This window comes from Homo sapiens, chromosome 3, assembly GCF_000001405.40.
Source record: "Homo sapiens chromosome 3, GRCh38.p14 Primary Assembly".
NCBI lineage: Eukaryota > Metazoa > Chordata > Mammalia > Primates > Hominidae > Homo > Homo sapiens.
This window is the reverse complement of record NC_000003.12, coordinates 119186984-119205493: the sequence shown is the minus strand read 5'-3', so window position 1 is coordinate 119205493 and position 18510 is coordinate 119186984. Positions and strand designations below refer to the sequence as shown.

Below are 18510 nucleotides of genomic sequence, written 5' to 3'. Positions count from 1 at the left end.
GAGTCAGCTGGGAGCAGGACGCCAAAGTGTTTTCTTCATGAAGGACACACAGTTCTGCAGTTAGCATGGGCGAGGTTTCCACTGCTTTCAATTGCATGAGGTAAATGATTTGAAGAGCATTAGTCTCATCACTGCTTCTGGGGTAAGTGTAGCAGGAGCAAAAAGTAAAAGTGAGCGTAGAAGTTCCCACCGTTTAACTGTAAGGCAGCGTTTGCCAGCATCCAGCAGGAAGCCACACCCTGTGTCTGCAGTTTCTACCTCCTCCACTTTAATTCCCATGCTTTAGGCTTTTCTGTTGGAAAACCCATTTTGTTAGACTCATATATGACATTGGTAAAAATGAAAGTGAACAGATTTTAAAGCTGTCTTTACTTATAAGACCAGACAAATGTTGAGTTATAAGAATTTCCTTCAGGACCACAAATGGAAACATAGTGCAGATGAGAAATATTTTGACAGTAAACAGAAATCCCTGTAAATCACCCCATTCTATTGGCTGGCTTGCTTCTCTCCAGTTTGAAATGGTCTCAAGCTGAGACCATTCAGGGCAAAGACTGAGTAAATATATAACAGGCACCTTGTCTGTCCCCAGAAGTCCCCACGCTTTTTTGTTTGTTTTGAGACAGAGTCTGGCTCTTTCATCCAGGATGGAGTGCAATAGGTACGATCTCAGCTCACTGCAACCTCTGTCTCCCGGTCAAGTGATTCTCCTGCGTTAGCCTGCCAAGTAGCTAGGATTACAGGCACCTGCCATCACGCCTGGCTAATTTTTGTATTTTTGTAGAGACGGGGTTTCACCATGTTGGCCAGGCTGGTCTTGAACTCCTGACCTCAGGTGATCTGCCCACCTCGGCCTCCCAAAGTGCTGGGATTACAGGCATGAGCCCCCACGCCCAGCCCACACTTTTAATTAATGGAGAATTGAGGCTACTAAACACATACTTCAAGGTATGAAAGGAAATTTGAACCACTGTTAAGAATTATTCTGGAGAATAAAAGGATCTGAAGGTGGCATCAAGAGAATCACCCATCTCCATATATGGGAGCTACTCTAGAAAGAAATGCAAAAGGTATATTTCAGTAATCTTTTCCCAACTTCTCTGTTCCCCTGACAATACTGAGATCAACAGAAGCATTGGAAGGTTTCTTTTAGATAATAGTGAGAGATACAGGCAGATTGCTAGCCAAATACAGCTCTGGGTTACTGTGATAACACAGGTTCCTTCGAATGTATTTATTTTCCCAAATTAAAAATAAGCAGGGATGGAAGTAGTTATTATGCATTTTTCAAATTCTCCTTTCAACAGTCTATATAAATGTTGCAGAATGCTAGACTAGGATGAAAAGTAGGAGTCATGAGAACTGCAGAAGCCTGAGATCCTAAAGGAAGTCCGTACCATCTGACTTGGCAATGTAAGACACACACGTTAGTGTGGGGCACAAACGTGGAATATTAGGAGAGAGCTGGTTCCAGCACCAAATCCAGAGTCACTCGGGGAAGGAGGTATGGTGGCAACACTTTATGCTTAATATTCAATTCTGCTCCAGTAGAACATGGTACCCAGGAGAACCCAAAACTGGAATAGAAAAAAACAAGGAAAAATAAACAAGGGATTGTTTTAGAAACATCTCATTCTTGGAAAAAGTGGATGTTAGGTTCATTCAGGCTTAGGTGACAACAGATTTTTTTGTTTGTTTGTTTTTATTTCTTCTAAAAAACCAAAACAAAAACAGGATACATGTACAGAACGTGCAGGTTTGTTACACAGATGTACGTGTGCCATGGTGGTTTGCTGCACCTGTTGACCCATCCTCTAAGTTCCCTTCTCCTCACTCCTCACCCCTCAGCAGGCCCTGGTGTGTGTTGTTCCCCTCCCTTTGTCCATGTGTTCTCATTGTTCAACTCCCACTTATGAGAGGGAACATGCAGTGTCTGGCTTCCTGTTCCTGTGTTAGTTTGCTGAGGATGATGACTTCCAGCTTCATCCATGTCCCTGCAAAAACATGATCTCATTCCTTTTTATGGCTGCATAGTATTCCATAGTGTGCATGGACCACATTTTCTTTATCCAGTCTATTGCTGATGGGCATTTGGGTTGGTTCCATGTCTTTGTTAGATATCAGATTTTTTTTTTTTTTTTTTTTTTTTTTTTGAGACGGAGTTTCGCTCTGTCGCCCAGGCTGGAGTGCAGTGGCGCGATCTTGACTCACTGCAAGCTCCGCCTCCCGGGTTCACGCCATTCTCCTGCCTCAGCCTCCTGTGTAGCTGGGACTACAGGCACGCGCCACCATGCCCGGCTAATTTTTGTATTTTTAGTAGAGACGGGGTTTCACCGTGTTAGCCAGGATGGTCTCGATCTCCTGACCTCGTGATTTGCCCGTCTCGGCCTCCCAAAGTGCTGGGATTACAGGCGTGAGCCACCACGCCTGGCCTAGATATCAGATTTTTAAGAGTAATCTCGTTATAAGCAACATCACTGGGCCAGATGTGACACCAAATCCATCCTGCTCCAAAGCATCACTTATTACCTGCCACTCAGAAGCAACTTCTGTGTTCCCCACGTTCTGATCCCAGTTCTCATCCTAGATTCCTTGTCTTCTGGGGTTGCCCTTCTCGTCTGTGCTAAACTCTTTTTGCCATCAAGGCCACTTATCCTCCAATGCCTTCCTGTTTCTAGTATGTACCATTTCGGGGTAAGCATTCCTTGCTTCTAGTATTAAACTTCTCCCAGGGAACTTCTATTTTTTCCTAAAATGCTTGTGCCCTGGAATGGCTGCCTCTGAAGAATGCCACAGAACTCAAGATATCTGACTTAGGCAAGGGCTGAGTTTTATTTTAGTTTATTTGGGCTCTGTTTTAGATCTGGTACTTACTCCTGGGTAACTTTAGCCAAGTCACTTAAATTTCCTGAGCTTCAGTTTCTACATTTATAAAATAAATATAACATCTCTACCTACCCCAAGCTAGAGCAGTGAATGAGATAATGAAATAATAACAGGGTCTAATGTTTATTAGAATACCTTATTATGCATCACTCACTATTCTAAGTGTTACCCATATAACTGAAGTTAATGCTTCCAAAACCCTATGGAGAAACGGAGGCACAGAGAAGTAACTTACCCAAGGTCATAGAACTAGTAGGTGGTGGAGGTGGGATTCAAACCCAAGCAGTCAGCTTCAGAGCTTATCTAGTTAATCACTAAGAAAAAGCCCCTTGCAAGCAACAGTGAAATGGGCATGCTTAAGAGCTCTTATTAAGCACAATTCTTGAGAGCCCCACTGAATTTCTCTGCTCCTTGTAAGACAGGACACTGGCTACCTGCTTAGCTACTGTTGTGGGGATTTAATATTAAAAATATTTGACATGGTACCTTGTTTATAGCAGGCCCTCAATACATTTAATCATTTAATTCCCTTCCCTTCCCTTCCCTCTTTTGAATTTCAAGAGGGAATTAACTAGATCTAGAGTTTATTTGATACTTGTGGAAAATCAAGGGTTACAACTGGTTTGGAGTTCTAAGATACTCAAAGCCTTTAAACATTATCCCACAGTTCCTGCTAATATGGCACAAATAGAAACTTCACTGTTACCTTTCATTCATTCAACAAATGCTTGAGCCCTTACTACATGCTATGCTTGGCACTGGGGGTACAAAGAACAGCTAGTTCTCAGCTTTTTGCAGTCAAATACATCATCATGGAGAAGTTCCATCATAGAGGTGTGCTCAGGATGTTGTGAGAGCTCCTAACAGGTTGGGTTGAGGGATCATAAAAGACCCCTTGAAGGAGTTGATTTCCCTCTCCTTCCTGCCTCACTCAGTTTATCACCCCCTAAGCTAGCATTTCTTAAAGCATAGTGATATGGTTTAGCTGTGTCCCCACTCAAATCTCATCTTGAATTGTAGCTCCTATAATCCCCACATGTCATGGGAGGGACTCGATGGGAAATAATTGAATCATGCGACCGGGTTTTTTTCTGTGCCGTTCTCGTGATAGGGAATAAGTCTCATGAGATCTGATGGCTTTATAAAGGGCAGTTCCCCTGCACACGCTGTGTTGCCTGCCGTCATGTAAGACATGCCTTTGCTCCTACTTCGCCTTCTGCCATGATTGTGAGTCCTCCCCAGCCATGTGGAACTGTAAGTCTATTAAACCTCTTTTGCTTTATAAATTATGCAGTTTTGGGTATTTCTTCATAGCACTATGAAAATGGACTAATACACATAGTAAACACCTGAGGGACAGTTCAGAAGTCCATTATGTAAGGCTATCTGAATAACAATGAGAATTTATTTGCCTTTTTCACTGTTTTCATATTTGCACTGATGGTGTAAATGCAGTGGGAAGTAAAACTCCTGGAGTATTAGCAAGAATCAAGGCAGAGTCACTAAACTTTGTTAGTGATCATTGTGTCTTCACTGCTACGCACTTGCAGTAAAAAAAAAAAATTTAAAAAGCCAGTTTCACTTGAGATTGTCCTCAATGAAGCAGTAAGAACTACTAATTTTATTACATTTTGGCCTTTGAGTACACATCTTTTTAAATATTCTGCATGACAGAAAGGAAGTATTCATTCATAAAACAGTCTGTTGCATAGTGTAATATGGTTGTCTTAAAAGCACTTGCATGATTAAAAGGAAACACCACTTTTACTTTAAAAAATGATGAACAGACACGCTATGGTTGTTTGGACTTGGACATGTGGCAGATATTTTCTTGAAAATTTACAAAGTGAGTCTGTCACTTCAAGGAAAACAACTGACAATATTCATTGCCAATGATAAATTTGAACTTTCAAGCAAAAATCAGAACCTTGGAAAACTTGTAGTTGTCACCGTGAACTTGATAGCATTCCATTGCTTAAGGTATTTTCCATGTGGCAATATCAATGCCACATGTGATTTTCTGGATATTGCATACATAAATCAGTTAACATTTGGAAGATCTGCATAACACAATGAACTAATATTTTTTCCAAATAAGCAATCTATGATGTTATAGAATTATAAATGGCTGAAAGATATATGCAAAGTGCAAGACAAACCAATGTAATATATTTTAACATAACAGAGTATGAAAAGCTCATTAACAGAATTTCAGATTCCAAATTGCAACTGATCTTTAAGAAGCTACTACTTGTGGGCTGGGTGCAGTGCTCATGGCCATAATCCCAGTGTTTTGGGAGGCCAGGGTGGGAGGATTGCTTGAGGCCAGGAGTTCAAGACCAACCTAGGCAACAAAGTAAGATCCTGTCTCTACAAGAAATAAAAAAATTAGCCAGGCACAATGGTGTGCACCTGTGGTCCCAGCTACTGGGTGAATATTATTAAAGCACTATTTTTTTAATTACATGTCTATATGAAGGATGCATTTTCTCCAGATCATTCAACCTAGGCAACATATTACAACAGATTGAATGAAGGTGCAAATATGAGAATCTAACTGTCTTCTATTTAGCTAGTCATTGAAGAGATTTGCAAAAAAGTCACTATTATAAAATAGTTGTTTTTCCACAAAAATGTGTTGTGATAACTTTTAATGGGCTTATTATTTTAAAATAAATATTTTAAATTTTTCTATGTTAATTTCCAATGGGGTAAATGCCAATAGATATAGGCCACATAGAGAAAAGCTTTCTGGAGTCCTCAATAATTTTTGAGAGTGTAAAGGGGTTCTGAAATCAAAAGTTTGTGACTGCTTCTCTAAGGCAATGGTTGTCAACCCTGACAGCAGATCATCTGGGGGAAATAAAAGTGCCTTGGCTCAACCCCCAGGTCAACTAAATCGAAGTCTCAGAGGTTGGGATCCAAGCAATTTTTAAAAAAAGTTTCCCCATGGCGTTTTAATGTGTAGCCAGGGCTGAGAACCACCGCTCCAACCTCTTGCTGCATATGCGTCAGATAAAGTGGGCAGTAGGAAAGGATGAATCTGCCAGAGGCAGCTCTTTAGAAGGATCTGGGCATATTAGTATCAGGCAGGGGCCATCTAGATAGGTGACAGTCTTTGATATGTGGATGAAATGAATTAATGAGATCTGGAGACCAGGAGGAGCAGTTCACTAAGAACTCTGGCAAGGGAAAGAGGCTCTCCAGCCCTCTAAAGGCAGCTGCCCATCAGCCGGAAGAAGGAGCTGGTTGGCAGGGCACAGCCTTTCCCTGGTAGGGGAAGTTAACTCCTTGCCTCTCAAGAGAACCCACTGTCCTTCTTCCGGTGCCAGAAGTTTCCTGACTAGCCTTCAGGCCTGAGGTTTTGTTTCTAGACTTTCTAGTGTGGTTGAGGTAACCAGTGGCACTCTCAAGGTCTCTCCGTATGATCATCCTCTCAGATAAAATATGTGCTGGGAAATACTCACAGTCCAGCAGAGAATGGCAAATCCAAACCAGGCAACCCCCCAGGCGTGTCGGTTCATTGGACCAGAGATCAGTTCATAGCAGCCCTGAAGGAGTGGGCAATTCCACATTAGTGTGAGAAGAACCAGAAAGCAGAGAAGAGATTGATGGGAAAGCAGGTTCCTATTGGAATCAATGCTACTCAAAATTCTGATTTCACATATCCAGGCTATTTCCACATCTCTGAGGACAGCCAGCTACTAATAGTGCTTTACTAAGGGAACATAAACAATACTGTTGAACAATGATTCCACAACACATTTATTTGTGTCTTTATCACTTAATCTCACTAAAAAGTACTGCTATTTTAGCATAACCCTCTTTCTATACTGAATATGTGGACAATAAATTCAAAAATCTTAATTCAATTAGAATTTTTCCCTCCCCAAAGGCTTCGTTGGTGATTTATTTGGAGGCAGTTACTTTTTGATTTGTTTGTTTTTGAATAAAAATGCTTCTGTCCATGAAAACCAGAGGTCCCCTGTTGCCATTTTTAATAATCATTAAAGGAACTCCTGCATTATGCTCCCTGAATTCTCATTTGATGTTATATTTCAACATATCTTTACTGGATTCTAGTGAGACCTTGAAGGGTCACAGTGAGCATGCAAAGGAATAATTTTTTTATTCACCAAATCATCCATTCATGCATGCCACAATCCAGTAAGTATTTATACATGGCGCACTCTATCCTAGTCACTGTGCAAAGTTCTGGAGTGATACACGCATGTAAGGCTAGAGCTGCCATCTGAGCAGCCTCTACCAAAGCTCTGGGAACCAAAGGGAATGCCTAGGAAATGCAATAACCAGGGCTGGTTCCATGGACCATGCGGCTCTGCCTCTCACCCCATCTTCCACTACCAGAGGAGGTTTCTCTATAAAGCGAATGAGCTTAAGCTTCAGGGCCCCTTACTTGCAAGACCCTTTCAAGGCCCTGTGCCTAATTTTGTATGCATATTTTTATTGTTTTTCCTAAGAAGGATCCTTCCCTATAATTTGTGTGTGAGGGTGGGGGTGGGGGACTCCAGCCACAAAAAATCTAGCTCCATCCTTGTCATCTACTCATCCTTCACTCATTCTGACTTTGTCATACTGATCTCCTTTATGCTCCTTCAAAAAGCTGGGCCTGCTCCCACTTAAGGGCCTTTGCACTCACAACTCCTTTCTTGTAGAACTTTCCTCCCCAATCTTCCGGTGTCTCATTTTCTCACTTAATTCAAACCTCTGCAAATATCATCTCAACAAAGCCTTTCCTGACAGTGACAGAGAAAAAGACCCTTTCTCCATCCTACTCTATATACTCACCCTGCCTTATTTCTGCTCATGGCCTATTTGGGCCTGGAATTTTATCATGTATTTGTTTGGTAACATGTTTATTTTCTGTCTCCCATGCTAGAATGCAAGCTCCATGAGGGCAGGGATTTTATGTTGTTCACTGTTGAATTTCTAGAACCTAGAACAAGTGCTTGGCACATAGTAGACACGTAATAAACATTTACAGAATGAATGGAACATTAATGTTTACAATAGTATAATTTGCAACACACTTGATGGTTCACAAAACACTCCCATATCTGCTACTCCTTGGTCCTCCCAACAATCCTGGGAGGTGGTCGTTCATCTAATAATATATATATAAGGGCCCACTTATGCCAGGTGCCAAGTACTGGCTGGGCATTTAGCTGTGGCAAACAGAAATGGGCCTTGCCTTCATGAAGCTCACAGACAGAAGCCCCATTTTTTTCACCATCATTTAGTGCCTTTTCGTGATGCTAGTCAATTTAGTGGTACTTTACTTGATCTTCCTTCATTTTATTATAACATTTTTGAGGTATAGTGATCACAATTTGCACATAGCATTTCTGAGTCACATAAACCATAACATAGAATATATATATATTTGCATCTGACATGCTGTGTGAAATTCTAGTTAATTTCTACTATTAACAAGCTTATAGTGACTTCCCTAATTTTGTTAGTCTTCACAGCTATAGCAGCACATTTGTGCATTGTAGATCCTGAAAACCTACAATATGGTTGTCAAAAAGTGAAGCCTGGGCAACACAGTGAGACCTCATCTCTACAAAAAATAAAATTAGCCAGGCCTGGTGGTACATGCCTGTAGTTAGTTGGGAGGCTGAGGTGGAAAGGAGGATCACTCGAGCCCAGGAGCTTGAGGCTGCAATAAGCTGTGATTGCAGCATGGCACTCCAGCTTGGGTGACAGAGTGAGACCCTGTCTCTCAAACAAAACAAAACAAAAACCAGGCTGGGCACGGTGGCTCACTCCTTTAATCCCAGCACTTTGGGAGGCTGAGGTGGGTGGATCACAAGGTCAAGAGATCGAGACCATCCTGGCCAACATGGTGAAACCCCATCTCTACTAAAAATACAAAAATTAGCTGGGTGTGGTTGCGTGCACCTGTAGTCCCAGCTACTTGGGAGGCTGAGGCAGGAGAATCACTTGAACCTGGGAGGTGGAGGTTGCAGTGAGCCGAGATAGCGCCACTGCACTCCAGCCTGGCGACAGAGTGAGACAGGCTCCATCTCAAAAAAAAAAAAAAAAAAAGAAAAAGAAAAACCATTCACTATTCACTTCTTTATTCACCCATCTATCAAACGTCGGTGCTTGCTTTGTGCCAGGCATTATGCTAAGTACTAAAAATATCAAATCTGTAGAATCAAATAATACATAGTCCTCAAGGAGACTCAGAAAAAATAGACTTGGGAACAAATATAGTTCCAGGTAGTGAATGCAATAATAGAAATAAAGTATACCAGGTCTTGGGGTAGCACCTTTTTCTTGGTGGAAAAGGATGGCAAGAGGGGACTTAGCAAGACCTATGAGTCAGGGAGAATGGTGGTGTGTGGGAATCTGGGAGGCTGGGCTAGGGAGAATCAGAAAGGACTAATAGATAAGAGATTATGTCAAAGGAGCAGAATGAGTGAGGTTGAGAAACAAGGAGCACAGGAAGTCAGGAACAGAGAGAGGAATTTCAGAATTCAGGAATTTGGTGGAGGAGTAGGGCTGAGTGATGATGAATTTGTAGTTGGTAGGTAGTGGAGGTGGAGTTGTTAGAACAGATAAAGCCAGGGAACTGTAGGGTAGTGGAGGTGGAATTGTTAGAACAGATGAGGCCAGGGAACTGTAAGGGAACGTGTTAGAAGCATTGTCAAAATGGGTGTGGAGGTCCCAAGGTAGAGGAAAATAGTTCATTTGTATCTTTTCCTCAATTTCTCATCTATCTAAACTTGAGAAAAGCTTCAGGTTTGTCCTCATAACTAAAATATTATATGTGCTAGGAAAAAAGGTATAACTATGAAATAAACTGGTTATCTGAAGACAAATGTCCTATTTTTATCCCTTTCAAAGAGGTAATACAGTTTGTACACAATTACAATCCAATCAAGATTTGTTTGCATGAGCAGTTCCAGTGTTGAAATATCAAAAGCCTTTTATAGTCCTGAGAATAATTATATTGTACACCTTGATTATAAGCAGCAAATTTAATTTTTAATAACAGTCTGAATATAATTGATTAAAACAATGCCAGACAATGTTGCAGTAAAGCTCAATGAGGGTTGCTCTGGACACTGCTGCAAAATAATCTAGAACACTCCCATGCCCTTTTCTGGAATAATGCATCCAGTTCTAGTCCAGGCACCCTGTCAGCAACAGTGCCATGTCCCTCAATCTGAACATGCAGTTTGTACTGCTCCCAAACAAAACAGCCTGACATTTCTCAATTATTTAATGAGCTGGTACACAACTAGCTTTCCTTAAAGAGGTAACTCCCTGAGCAGAGCACAGCGTTTCAGTGTACAGGGTCAGCAGATGCTGACTACAAGTACCTGGAGGTTCTCATCAGGGCTTTTGGGGAATATTAACAAGTCTTCACTGGCTTAGAGTCTGTGCTTGAAGGCAGAAAACTCATGTTTCAAAAGCCAGAGAGTTTTTTGAAAAGACGGACATTTACTAGTTGTGTGACCTCAGCAAGGTATTTATTAGTATCTCTACGTCTAAGTTCTTCGTTTGTAAAACAGGGATCCTACTGGCACCTACTACTGAGCATTAAAGGAGATAGTGTATGTGTGGCACTGGAAACAGTGTTTGGCATTTAGTAAGTACACAATAAATGTTAGTTTTCATGATCGTAATCACATTATCCTCATCAGCCTGGAAACTTTTTCAAAAACTATCTGTATGTAAACTACCTTCCATCCAAATCACCAACCTAATGTTTATTAAGACTGTCCTACTTTACCATTGAATAAGGAATGTGGATGTGTAATTACTACATTTATCCTCAGCAATAGTCATTGCTTTGGAATTGGCAAAACATTCTTTTTGCACATCATCCCTTCCAATTTACATTTTGCAAAACTAGAGCAAAACTTTGTTTAATGTAAATATTTCTTGACATACCAATTCCATACATTGTGCAAATTGTCTTCATTTAAACAAAGTTGGGTTCTGCTATTGCAATTCTCATGTTTTGTTAATTTTATTAAAATGTAAATTTGCCCCTATCAGTCCTGGTTTAGCATTTGCAGTTTATTAACAGAGAAGGAAATAGTTAACATGAGGTTTAGGGAAAAGAATGTAGAATTCCTTACTGAAAGACTATTTCCTACAGTTGACCAATATTTTTCTCATAAAGAGCAGCAGAACCTCCTGGGAAGTCTTGGGAGGAGAGAGGACTCACCTGATTGTGATAAAAACCAGGCACGCCTAGTTTACAAGCCTCCAGGTTGAGAGGTTCTTTAAGATTGTTCATAACACAGCATTGACGAGGCCAGGGATAGTCAGCATCATTATTCTCAGTCCGGAAGGCAGATGTGTATTTTTGCCAGTCTGATGGACCATTTACGCCACAGCAATTGTCCTGTCAGCAGATGAGAGATACAAAATTCTCTTTCGTGGTCCCTACTAGAGCCATCAATGTAGCAACTGAAATTTTATAGAGAAAGAAGATACGGAAAGTGTACCATATCTTACATTTACTAAGAAATCCCCAAATGACAGCTGAAGGTATTGATAACTTACAACTTACATTTTACAGTTTGTAAAAGAATTTTTACACTTCCTACTTTACTAGTCATTAGTGAACCCTGTAGCCATTGACATGTTACTTAAACTGTCTAAGCCTCAGTTTCCTTAACTGTAAAATTGGAATATAGTACCTATCTCATAGAGTTTTTTTAAGGATTAAATGAGTTAATATACTTAATGTGCTCAATACAGTGCCTGGCTTATGGTAAACTCTTAATAAATGTTAATTATGATTGATACTGTACTAATATATTGATATAACAATGTGAGAGAGGAATAATTATTCTGATATATCAGAGCAAATTGAGAATCATAAAATTAAAGATTATATCAAAGCAAATTGAGAATCATAAAATTAAAAATTTTAGTGGTGAAGTTATGAGTAATTGTTCTTGTTTTGCTTTTCTATACATTTAAACATTTTTTAGAGTAATTAGGTATTATTTTTATAATGGGAGAAAATAAAGTGAAAAAAATAACCTGGTGACACAGAGCTATGTCTCCACATAGGGGAGGGAGACCAATTAATACATCCCTTACACTCTGGATAGAATTGAGAATAGAGGACAAAACACAATTCATATAGCTTTCCTTCTTTGTTATCAATTCTCCTAAAATCCTTCAAAAGGGAGGAAGTTAAAACCATGGGTATCTTGGAACTTTTAGAATGAATGTATTCAAGTAAACTTGATGATAAATCAACCATCTTTAAAGGATATACAATTTTGTCACTATGTTATGGGAAATATCTAACCAAGAAAAATAATTATTCTGCATTCTGGGAAAAATGGTTAAGTCTAAGCCAGGCTTATTTCAAACTAGGATTTAGTGGGCACAGAGAAGATTTAAGGGTCCAAAATTGAGCTTTGTAGCACTCCAAGCTTCAGATTTGGGTAAAGAGTGACAACCCAGCAGAGGAGACTAAGCGGGAGTAGTCAGTGAGACAAATGCTGATAAGATGTCAAAGAAGATGAGGACAGAGACTTGGCTATTGGATTTGGCAGGATGGAGGTAATTGGTAATTATGGCAGGGTTGTTTTTGTTGAGTGGTGAGGCAGAGGCCAATTGTAGTTGGATGAAAGCAGATGAGAGGGATGAAAATGGGACCACAAGTGTAGGCATCTCTTCTGAGATTTGCTGTGGAATAAAACAAAACAGTAGTAGGACAGAATAGTGGGTGAATGTTGGACAAGGGAGTCTTTTTATAAGATAGACAATTTAAGGTGTCCATGTAGGCTGTTGAAAGGGAGAAACTGATGAGGCAGATCAGAGCAGGGAAGACTGTTGGGGCAAAGGAGATGGAATGCAGAACAGAATCAAAAGAGCTGGACAAAGGACAGCCTGTGTGACATAACAAGAGAGAAGGCAAAGTGCACAGGTGTATATCAATGTAGATTTGGTGGTAGAAAGATGAGGTGGTTCTTGTCTAATTTCTTCTATATTCTTAAAAACATATGAGGTCGGGTCATCAACTGAGAGGGAGGGTGAGAAGAGGTGTGGCAGGCATGAAGGAAGAACATGTGAAATAGTGACAAGTGAATTTTCTGGGAAAATATACTAGGAAATATTGTGTGCCCATTTGAGCTCTGTGGTCACAAGTTTAAATTGAAATGATCATGGTTGTGTGACTTTTCTCAGCAATGTTTAGCTCTTAGAGTATAAACGAAGAGTGAGCAAAAAGCTATATTCTACTCGGTGGGCTTGGTTAGGAAAGAGTGACCCACAGAGAAGGGTAGGGAAGGACTGGCTATGGGGCTGGACCTGAATATGGGTTAGGCAAAGAGGAAAGAGAAAACATGAAAGGGGTGATAAAAGTTAAAAAGTGGTCAATTAATTGGAGGTCCTAATGGAATAAAATTATTAGAATTGAGATATTAGAATAAATGAAAGAAATGATAGAAATTAATGGTCAGAGAATGGAATGTTCTTAGTGGCACAGTTACTGGTGATGGCATGCTGACTATGGTCATGGAAGAGGGTGGAGGTGGGGAGAAAGACAAAATCTTTGGAATGGGGTAGGACAAGGAATTGTGAGACTAAATGTTGCTGAGTCATCCATGTGGCTGCTGAAGTTTCTAGGTGGGATATCAGGAGTATGACTGAAGAGGTAGATAGTTAAGTGAGATATTGAAATCCCTAATGAAGGCAGGAGAACGACTGAGGGTAGGGAGGCTGGTAAGTAATGGCAAGGAAGGATAAGGGGTGATGTAGATCAAGGAAGCAAATAGTATGGCAGCCAAGGGGAGCAAGAAGGACACCTAGCCAATTTCCAGGTCCTATGGTACATGGATATGGGAGGAAAATGAAGGGCAGGTAGCACTCCCAGGAGATAGCCAAATTTCCAATGAAGCAAGAAAAAGATAGTAAAGAGTTCATAGAAGGAGTGGTGGCTATAAGGGAGTTTGCTGATGACAGACTGTAAAAAGTTGGTGGTGGGGTGTGGAGTAGGAGCAGGGGCCAGTAAGAAAGCTAGGTCAGATTGGTAGTTATGTAGAGGATAACAATTTGCATACAGAGGGCAATGTGGGGGTGATGATGGATATTCTGGAAGACTTGGACTTTTGATGGCACTGGAGATAAACATGGACATAAACTATGATTGCCAGTTGGAGAAAATTGGGTGATCAAATCAAGATATAGGGCCTGGTCCTTGGCAAGACTAGCTCACAGGAGTTGTGAAGAGGTACCCAAAAGGCGAAACAGGCAGTAATTACCACTCGAGTTCACTGTGGGGTAGAGAAAATATTTTTCTTTTAATGTAAATGATACCTGAGTTCTAAGAGGGAGAGTGTATGATTAACCTAAGTTTCTTGACAAAATCATTCCAACAAATGTAAGCTAATCATCATGGCTTGAAATAAAATATAGGGTCCCACTGAGTCATGTGTATGACACCCACTCCCACCAGTAAGTAAAAATGGCATCTCCCCAAGACCACAGGTCTTACCTGGAGCATGAGCCTGTCCCAGGTTTTGGTGACTCCATTGTTTTTCCACTGGTCATCATTGTTTGGAGGGCTGTTGTTTTGGTACCTCTCTAGCATCTGCTTCAGGAAGAGGTTGGGTGTGAACTATAGTAGGAAGAGGCAACACAAGAGGGAGAGATAGCACGCTAATTTTCAAGGAGAGGAAAATATTTTTCTCTGTCTTTTCCTGGGGACACTGAACATTCTCTCCTGGAGCAAAACTGTACTCAGAGGCACCAAGTACAGCTGGCTGAGGTTGGCATAAGTCCCCATGCAGAGAAGAGACTCTCATCTTAAAAGAAATCACTATGAGGCCAGGGGAACACATACTGTAGGGTGGCTTAGGCTAGGAAAACAGAGAATGGGAGAGAAAGAAAGATGTAGAATTGAGAGCACGTCTTAGCTGAGGTAGAACAGAGATCCTCCCATTGGAAGGCCCATGGCCATGGCAGAGTGGTGAAACCCACAGGGGATTACAAACTTGGGCCCTGGGAGTCAGGCCATCTGGGTTCAGAATTCTTGCTCTTTCAGTTGCCAACTATGTCACTTTAGACAAGTCATTTTACCTTTCTGTCTCATTTTTTTTCCTTTCTCAAATGACCAGAGTGATAATGCCTATTTCATAGATTTATGAGGATTAAGTAAAATGATAGATGTATTATTACTGTGCATATTGGATTGCCTGGGCACATAGTAAGGGGTTAATACATGTTGGTTGTTATAATAATGATAATTCATATTATTTTGCTTTTTGAGGTTGTACTCACAAAGTCTTGTTGTGTTGCTGCTGTGATACAAGATGCCACTTCAAAGGCATATACTATAAACATCAGAATGAAATACTGGAAGGGAAATAAATGAGATAAAAGAATTACATTTACCCGTCAAAGAGCGACTTGCCCAAATAATTATGTTTTTTCAGCAAATTTATCATATAATCATGTAATCACTCATGTAGTTATTCAACAAACCCTCATTGACCAGTGGCTTGGATTGAGGCTTGGTGCTAGTCAGCTCAATTCTCTCCTTTTCTCCAGAGAACAAATAGCCATTGAATACAGACCTTCCTCAGTCCAGTTTCCTGAGTTTCTATTTTAACTGGGAAAAACAAGTACAAGAGAATGAACTGGTGTGTATGTGTGCACACACACATGTGAGCATTTACATGCTCATTTACATGTGTGCATTTACATGCATGTGCATGCTCAGTGAGTGGCAAGAGAGTCTTAGTGTATCACATACAGTATAGGGCCTCATAAATCCCCTTTAATTTTGGAATTTTGGAGAAATTTTCTTTACAATTTGCTGAAAATTTAGAATCACGGAGTTCAGAAAAAGATGAACTGGATAATGTTGAACATCTAGGGTCCTTCCTAACAAGCATCCAGTCTCATCAGAGGAGAGGCAGGCTTCAAGTGCACAGCATTTGTGGGTGTTCTTTCACACGCACCCACACTCAAAGTACATTGGTTCAGTTGAGTGAAATGGCATTTGCTGTGTGTGGTAGTGGTGGTGTGTGTGCGTGAGCATGGGCACATGGGTGCGTGTGCACATGATACCTCCACATGACAGTGATGCTATTTCTGGCTGGAAAATATCCGAACAGCAAATGACCTCTGAATCTGGGATGGGGACTGTTTGCAAGAGTTCCAGCTTTGCCTTCCCCAGGCTTGCACACACTCTTGGGAGAAGGGGCACTGTGGTCAGTGTCAGCAGGGTAGGCAGGGAAAACTGTCCTCCTCTTTGGGTATGGGAGGCTCTCCGAGCAGGACCCTCTGTTGCCCTCACTACTCAGCCCAGAATAAAGCTCTGGCTACAGTCAACAGCAGGAGCACCTTCAGAGGCCCCAGAACATTTTTTTCCTGTGTTAGCTGCTGCCTTGCTCCTTGCCAAGAGCTTTGCTGGCTCCTGGTAAAGACGCTCCAGAAAGGAGGTATGCAGTGAGGTGTTTCCTCCTTTAGCCCCTTTGCCTCCCCAGCTCAGTTCTCCTGGTTGTCAGGCATGCACATGGCTGGCCCAAAGTGAGGCTGGGATGCAAGTGAATTTGTCTTTAGGAACACCTGTGTCTCCTCTCCCTTTTTCCTGTATTCCTTTCCCCACCCACCAAAAGTGGGTACTTTTGCCCTGGAACTTACGCACACTAAGGAACCAGAGAATGTAAATGTTCTGTAATCCATTGGAACCAGGACAGTGGTTAGTTAAAAGGAAGAGTAAACTAACAAGCACCTTACATTGCTGGACTCATTCTATAAAGGGGGAACTGAGGTCCTGCAGCATTTGAATAAAAGGGTTATTTCAGGGGTGGGGGATTGGAGGCGTGTTCCATAATAGTGTGAAACTGCTGCCCTAAGTATTAGGGCAGACAGTAGGGGTCCACGTCTGAAACAGGTTTCTCAGCTCTGCTGCCTGCAAATTTGCTTTCATCTGCAAAGGCAGGGCATGGTCTTGCTGTCTATGGTTTGGGGCAGAAGCCTCTCCTTGATGTACAGAGTTAAAGCCCCCACAGGCAGGTGTGAGCTGAAGGCTCACTCTACAGTGGTGCTTATCAAGGTTTTCTGGGGTCCCTGAAAAGCAGATTGGATGATAATGTGGGGAGTATAGGCTATGATACAGAATCATCAACCTTGAGCTCAAAAATCTTTGAAAGCTTATACTTTCTTTTAAAAATGTATGCATATTTTATATTTTATATCCTAATATATTAATGCCTAATTAATATCAAAATGTTTTAAACAAGTTATTGCCAAGAGAAAAAAATCTAATGAATGAATTCTCACTGTGTCTCTCCTTTGGCCTATATAGCTCCTAGCTGTACCTACTGGGTGTATGCAGACACCAGCTGTAGAGGCACAATATGGAAAATACTCATTAGGTCACCCCCAGGTGTCTCCCCTTTGGCTTCTCTGTACTGGAGCCTTCTGGGCTTGCAATAGTGGAGGGCATCTTTGCCTCCATGTGGACCATTTCACTGCAGGGAAAGTCTTCCCCTCCTCACCCCTTATCTGGTACTTCCTGCTCCCCCACTGAAAGCCAAAGCATTGCTCAGTGAAGAAGAAAGAATCCATTACAATTGGCTCAGGGAGACAACTCCAGAGAATTTTGAGGTCTTACCGCCAGAAGAATTTTCCTGCTGGACTTCATGATGCCTACAATGCCTAGAACAGACAGGCAGAAGAGGCAGATGCCCACAAATATGCCGATCCAGGCAGCCCCATAGATGTCATCGTTGTCGGTGGCTTCAAGCAGTGGGTAGAGGCTGTGTTGGTCAGATACAAAGAAGATGCACTCCGCAGTCAGGGCAATGCCGCAACACTGGGGGCAAATGAAAGGTGGGCTCCATCAGGAGTGCAGCTTTGGGAAAGGGGGTGGAGGGTGGGGAAGGTAAGAGTGACTGGCTCCCTTTCCTGCACAGGCTTTATGCAACTAATCTAAACTCCCCATTGCCAGGAAATCAAACAACTACTTCCATCCTACTAACTGGTTGCATACATCCCTTCACATGTTATTCTGTCTATTTAGTAACAGACCCACACAATTTCAGACCATCCACAATGTCCTTGGGGCATGAATCACTCAAACAATGCTTTCTGGTATGAGAATGATCTCCCCCTGCCCCCATGTCATGACCCACATTTCTGGGTTGTAATATTTGAGCTGGTCCTGGTCATATTTATCAATGACAGCTGAGAGGAACCTTGCTGCTTATCTTTGCCAACACCCACATTTTATAGATGAGGAATCTCAGCCTTGAAAGGTGATGGCCAGAGTCATATGGGGAGTCAGAGGGAGAGCTGGGCCAAGAGCTCTGGACTCCAAAACAAATGTTCTTCTATGCCACCAGACCCACACAGTATGGCCTCTGTATTATTCTTACACCCTGGTACTGGCCTCTGTATGAGAAGAACAAGATGCAAGCATCTGTCCCAAAAAACCTTAACAGCAGAGTCCCATGGAAATCAAACCAAGGTGACATAGAAAAGAAATAGTGAAGTGTGTTCGTAGTCAGAGTGTTTAGACACTGACTATGGTTGACATGACTCCTTTTAGATACTTATATTTTAAAGTTGGGAGGAAAATATCTACTTTTTCAACCATGATCTTTT

At 41.4% G+C, this 18510-nt stretch overlaps 1 protein-coding gene across 1 annotated transcript in view; it reads right to left on the bottom strand.

Annotated features, from left to right (window-relative positions):
• Window positions 1–350: 350 nt before the first annotated feature.
• The window catches only part of UPK1B (uroplakin 1B), a 31546-nt gene continuing 13386 nt past the window's right edge, over window positions 351–18510 (bottom strand). Inside the window, exons 3-8 of the mRNA NM_006952.4 lie at window positions 17519–17719; window positions 15175–15249; window positions 14390–14512; window positions 11096–11275; window positions 6354–6437; window positions 351–1577 (exon numbers count right to left, since the gene is read on the bottom strand). Of these exons, the coding sequence (NP_008883.2) occupies window positions 1527–1577; window positions 6354–6437; window positions 11096–11275; window positions 14390–14512; window positions 15175–15249; window positions 17519–17719 (714 nt within the window). The 3' untranslated portion in view covers window positions 351–1526. The remainder of the gene's footprint in view (window positions 1578–6353; window positions 6438–11095; window positions 11276–14389; window positions 14513–15174; window positions 15250–17518; window positions 17720–18510) is intronic.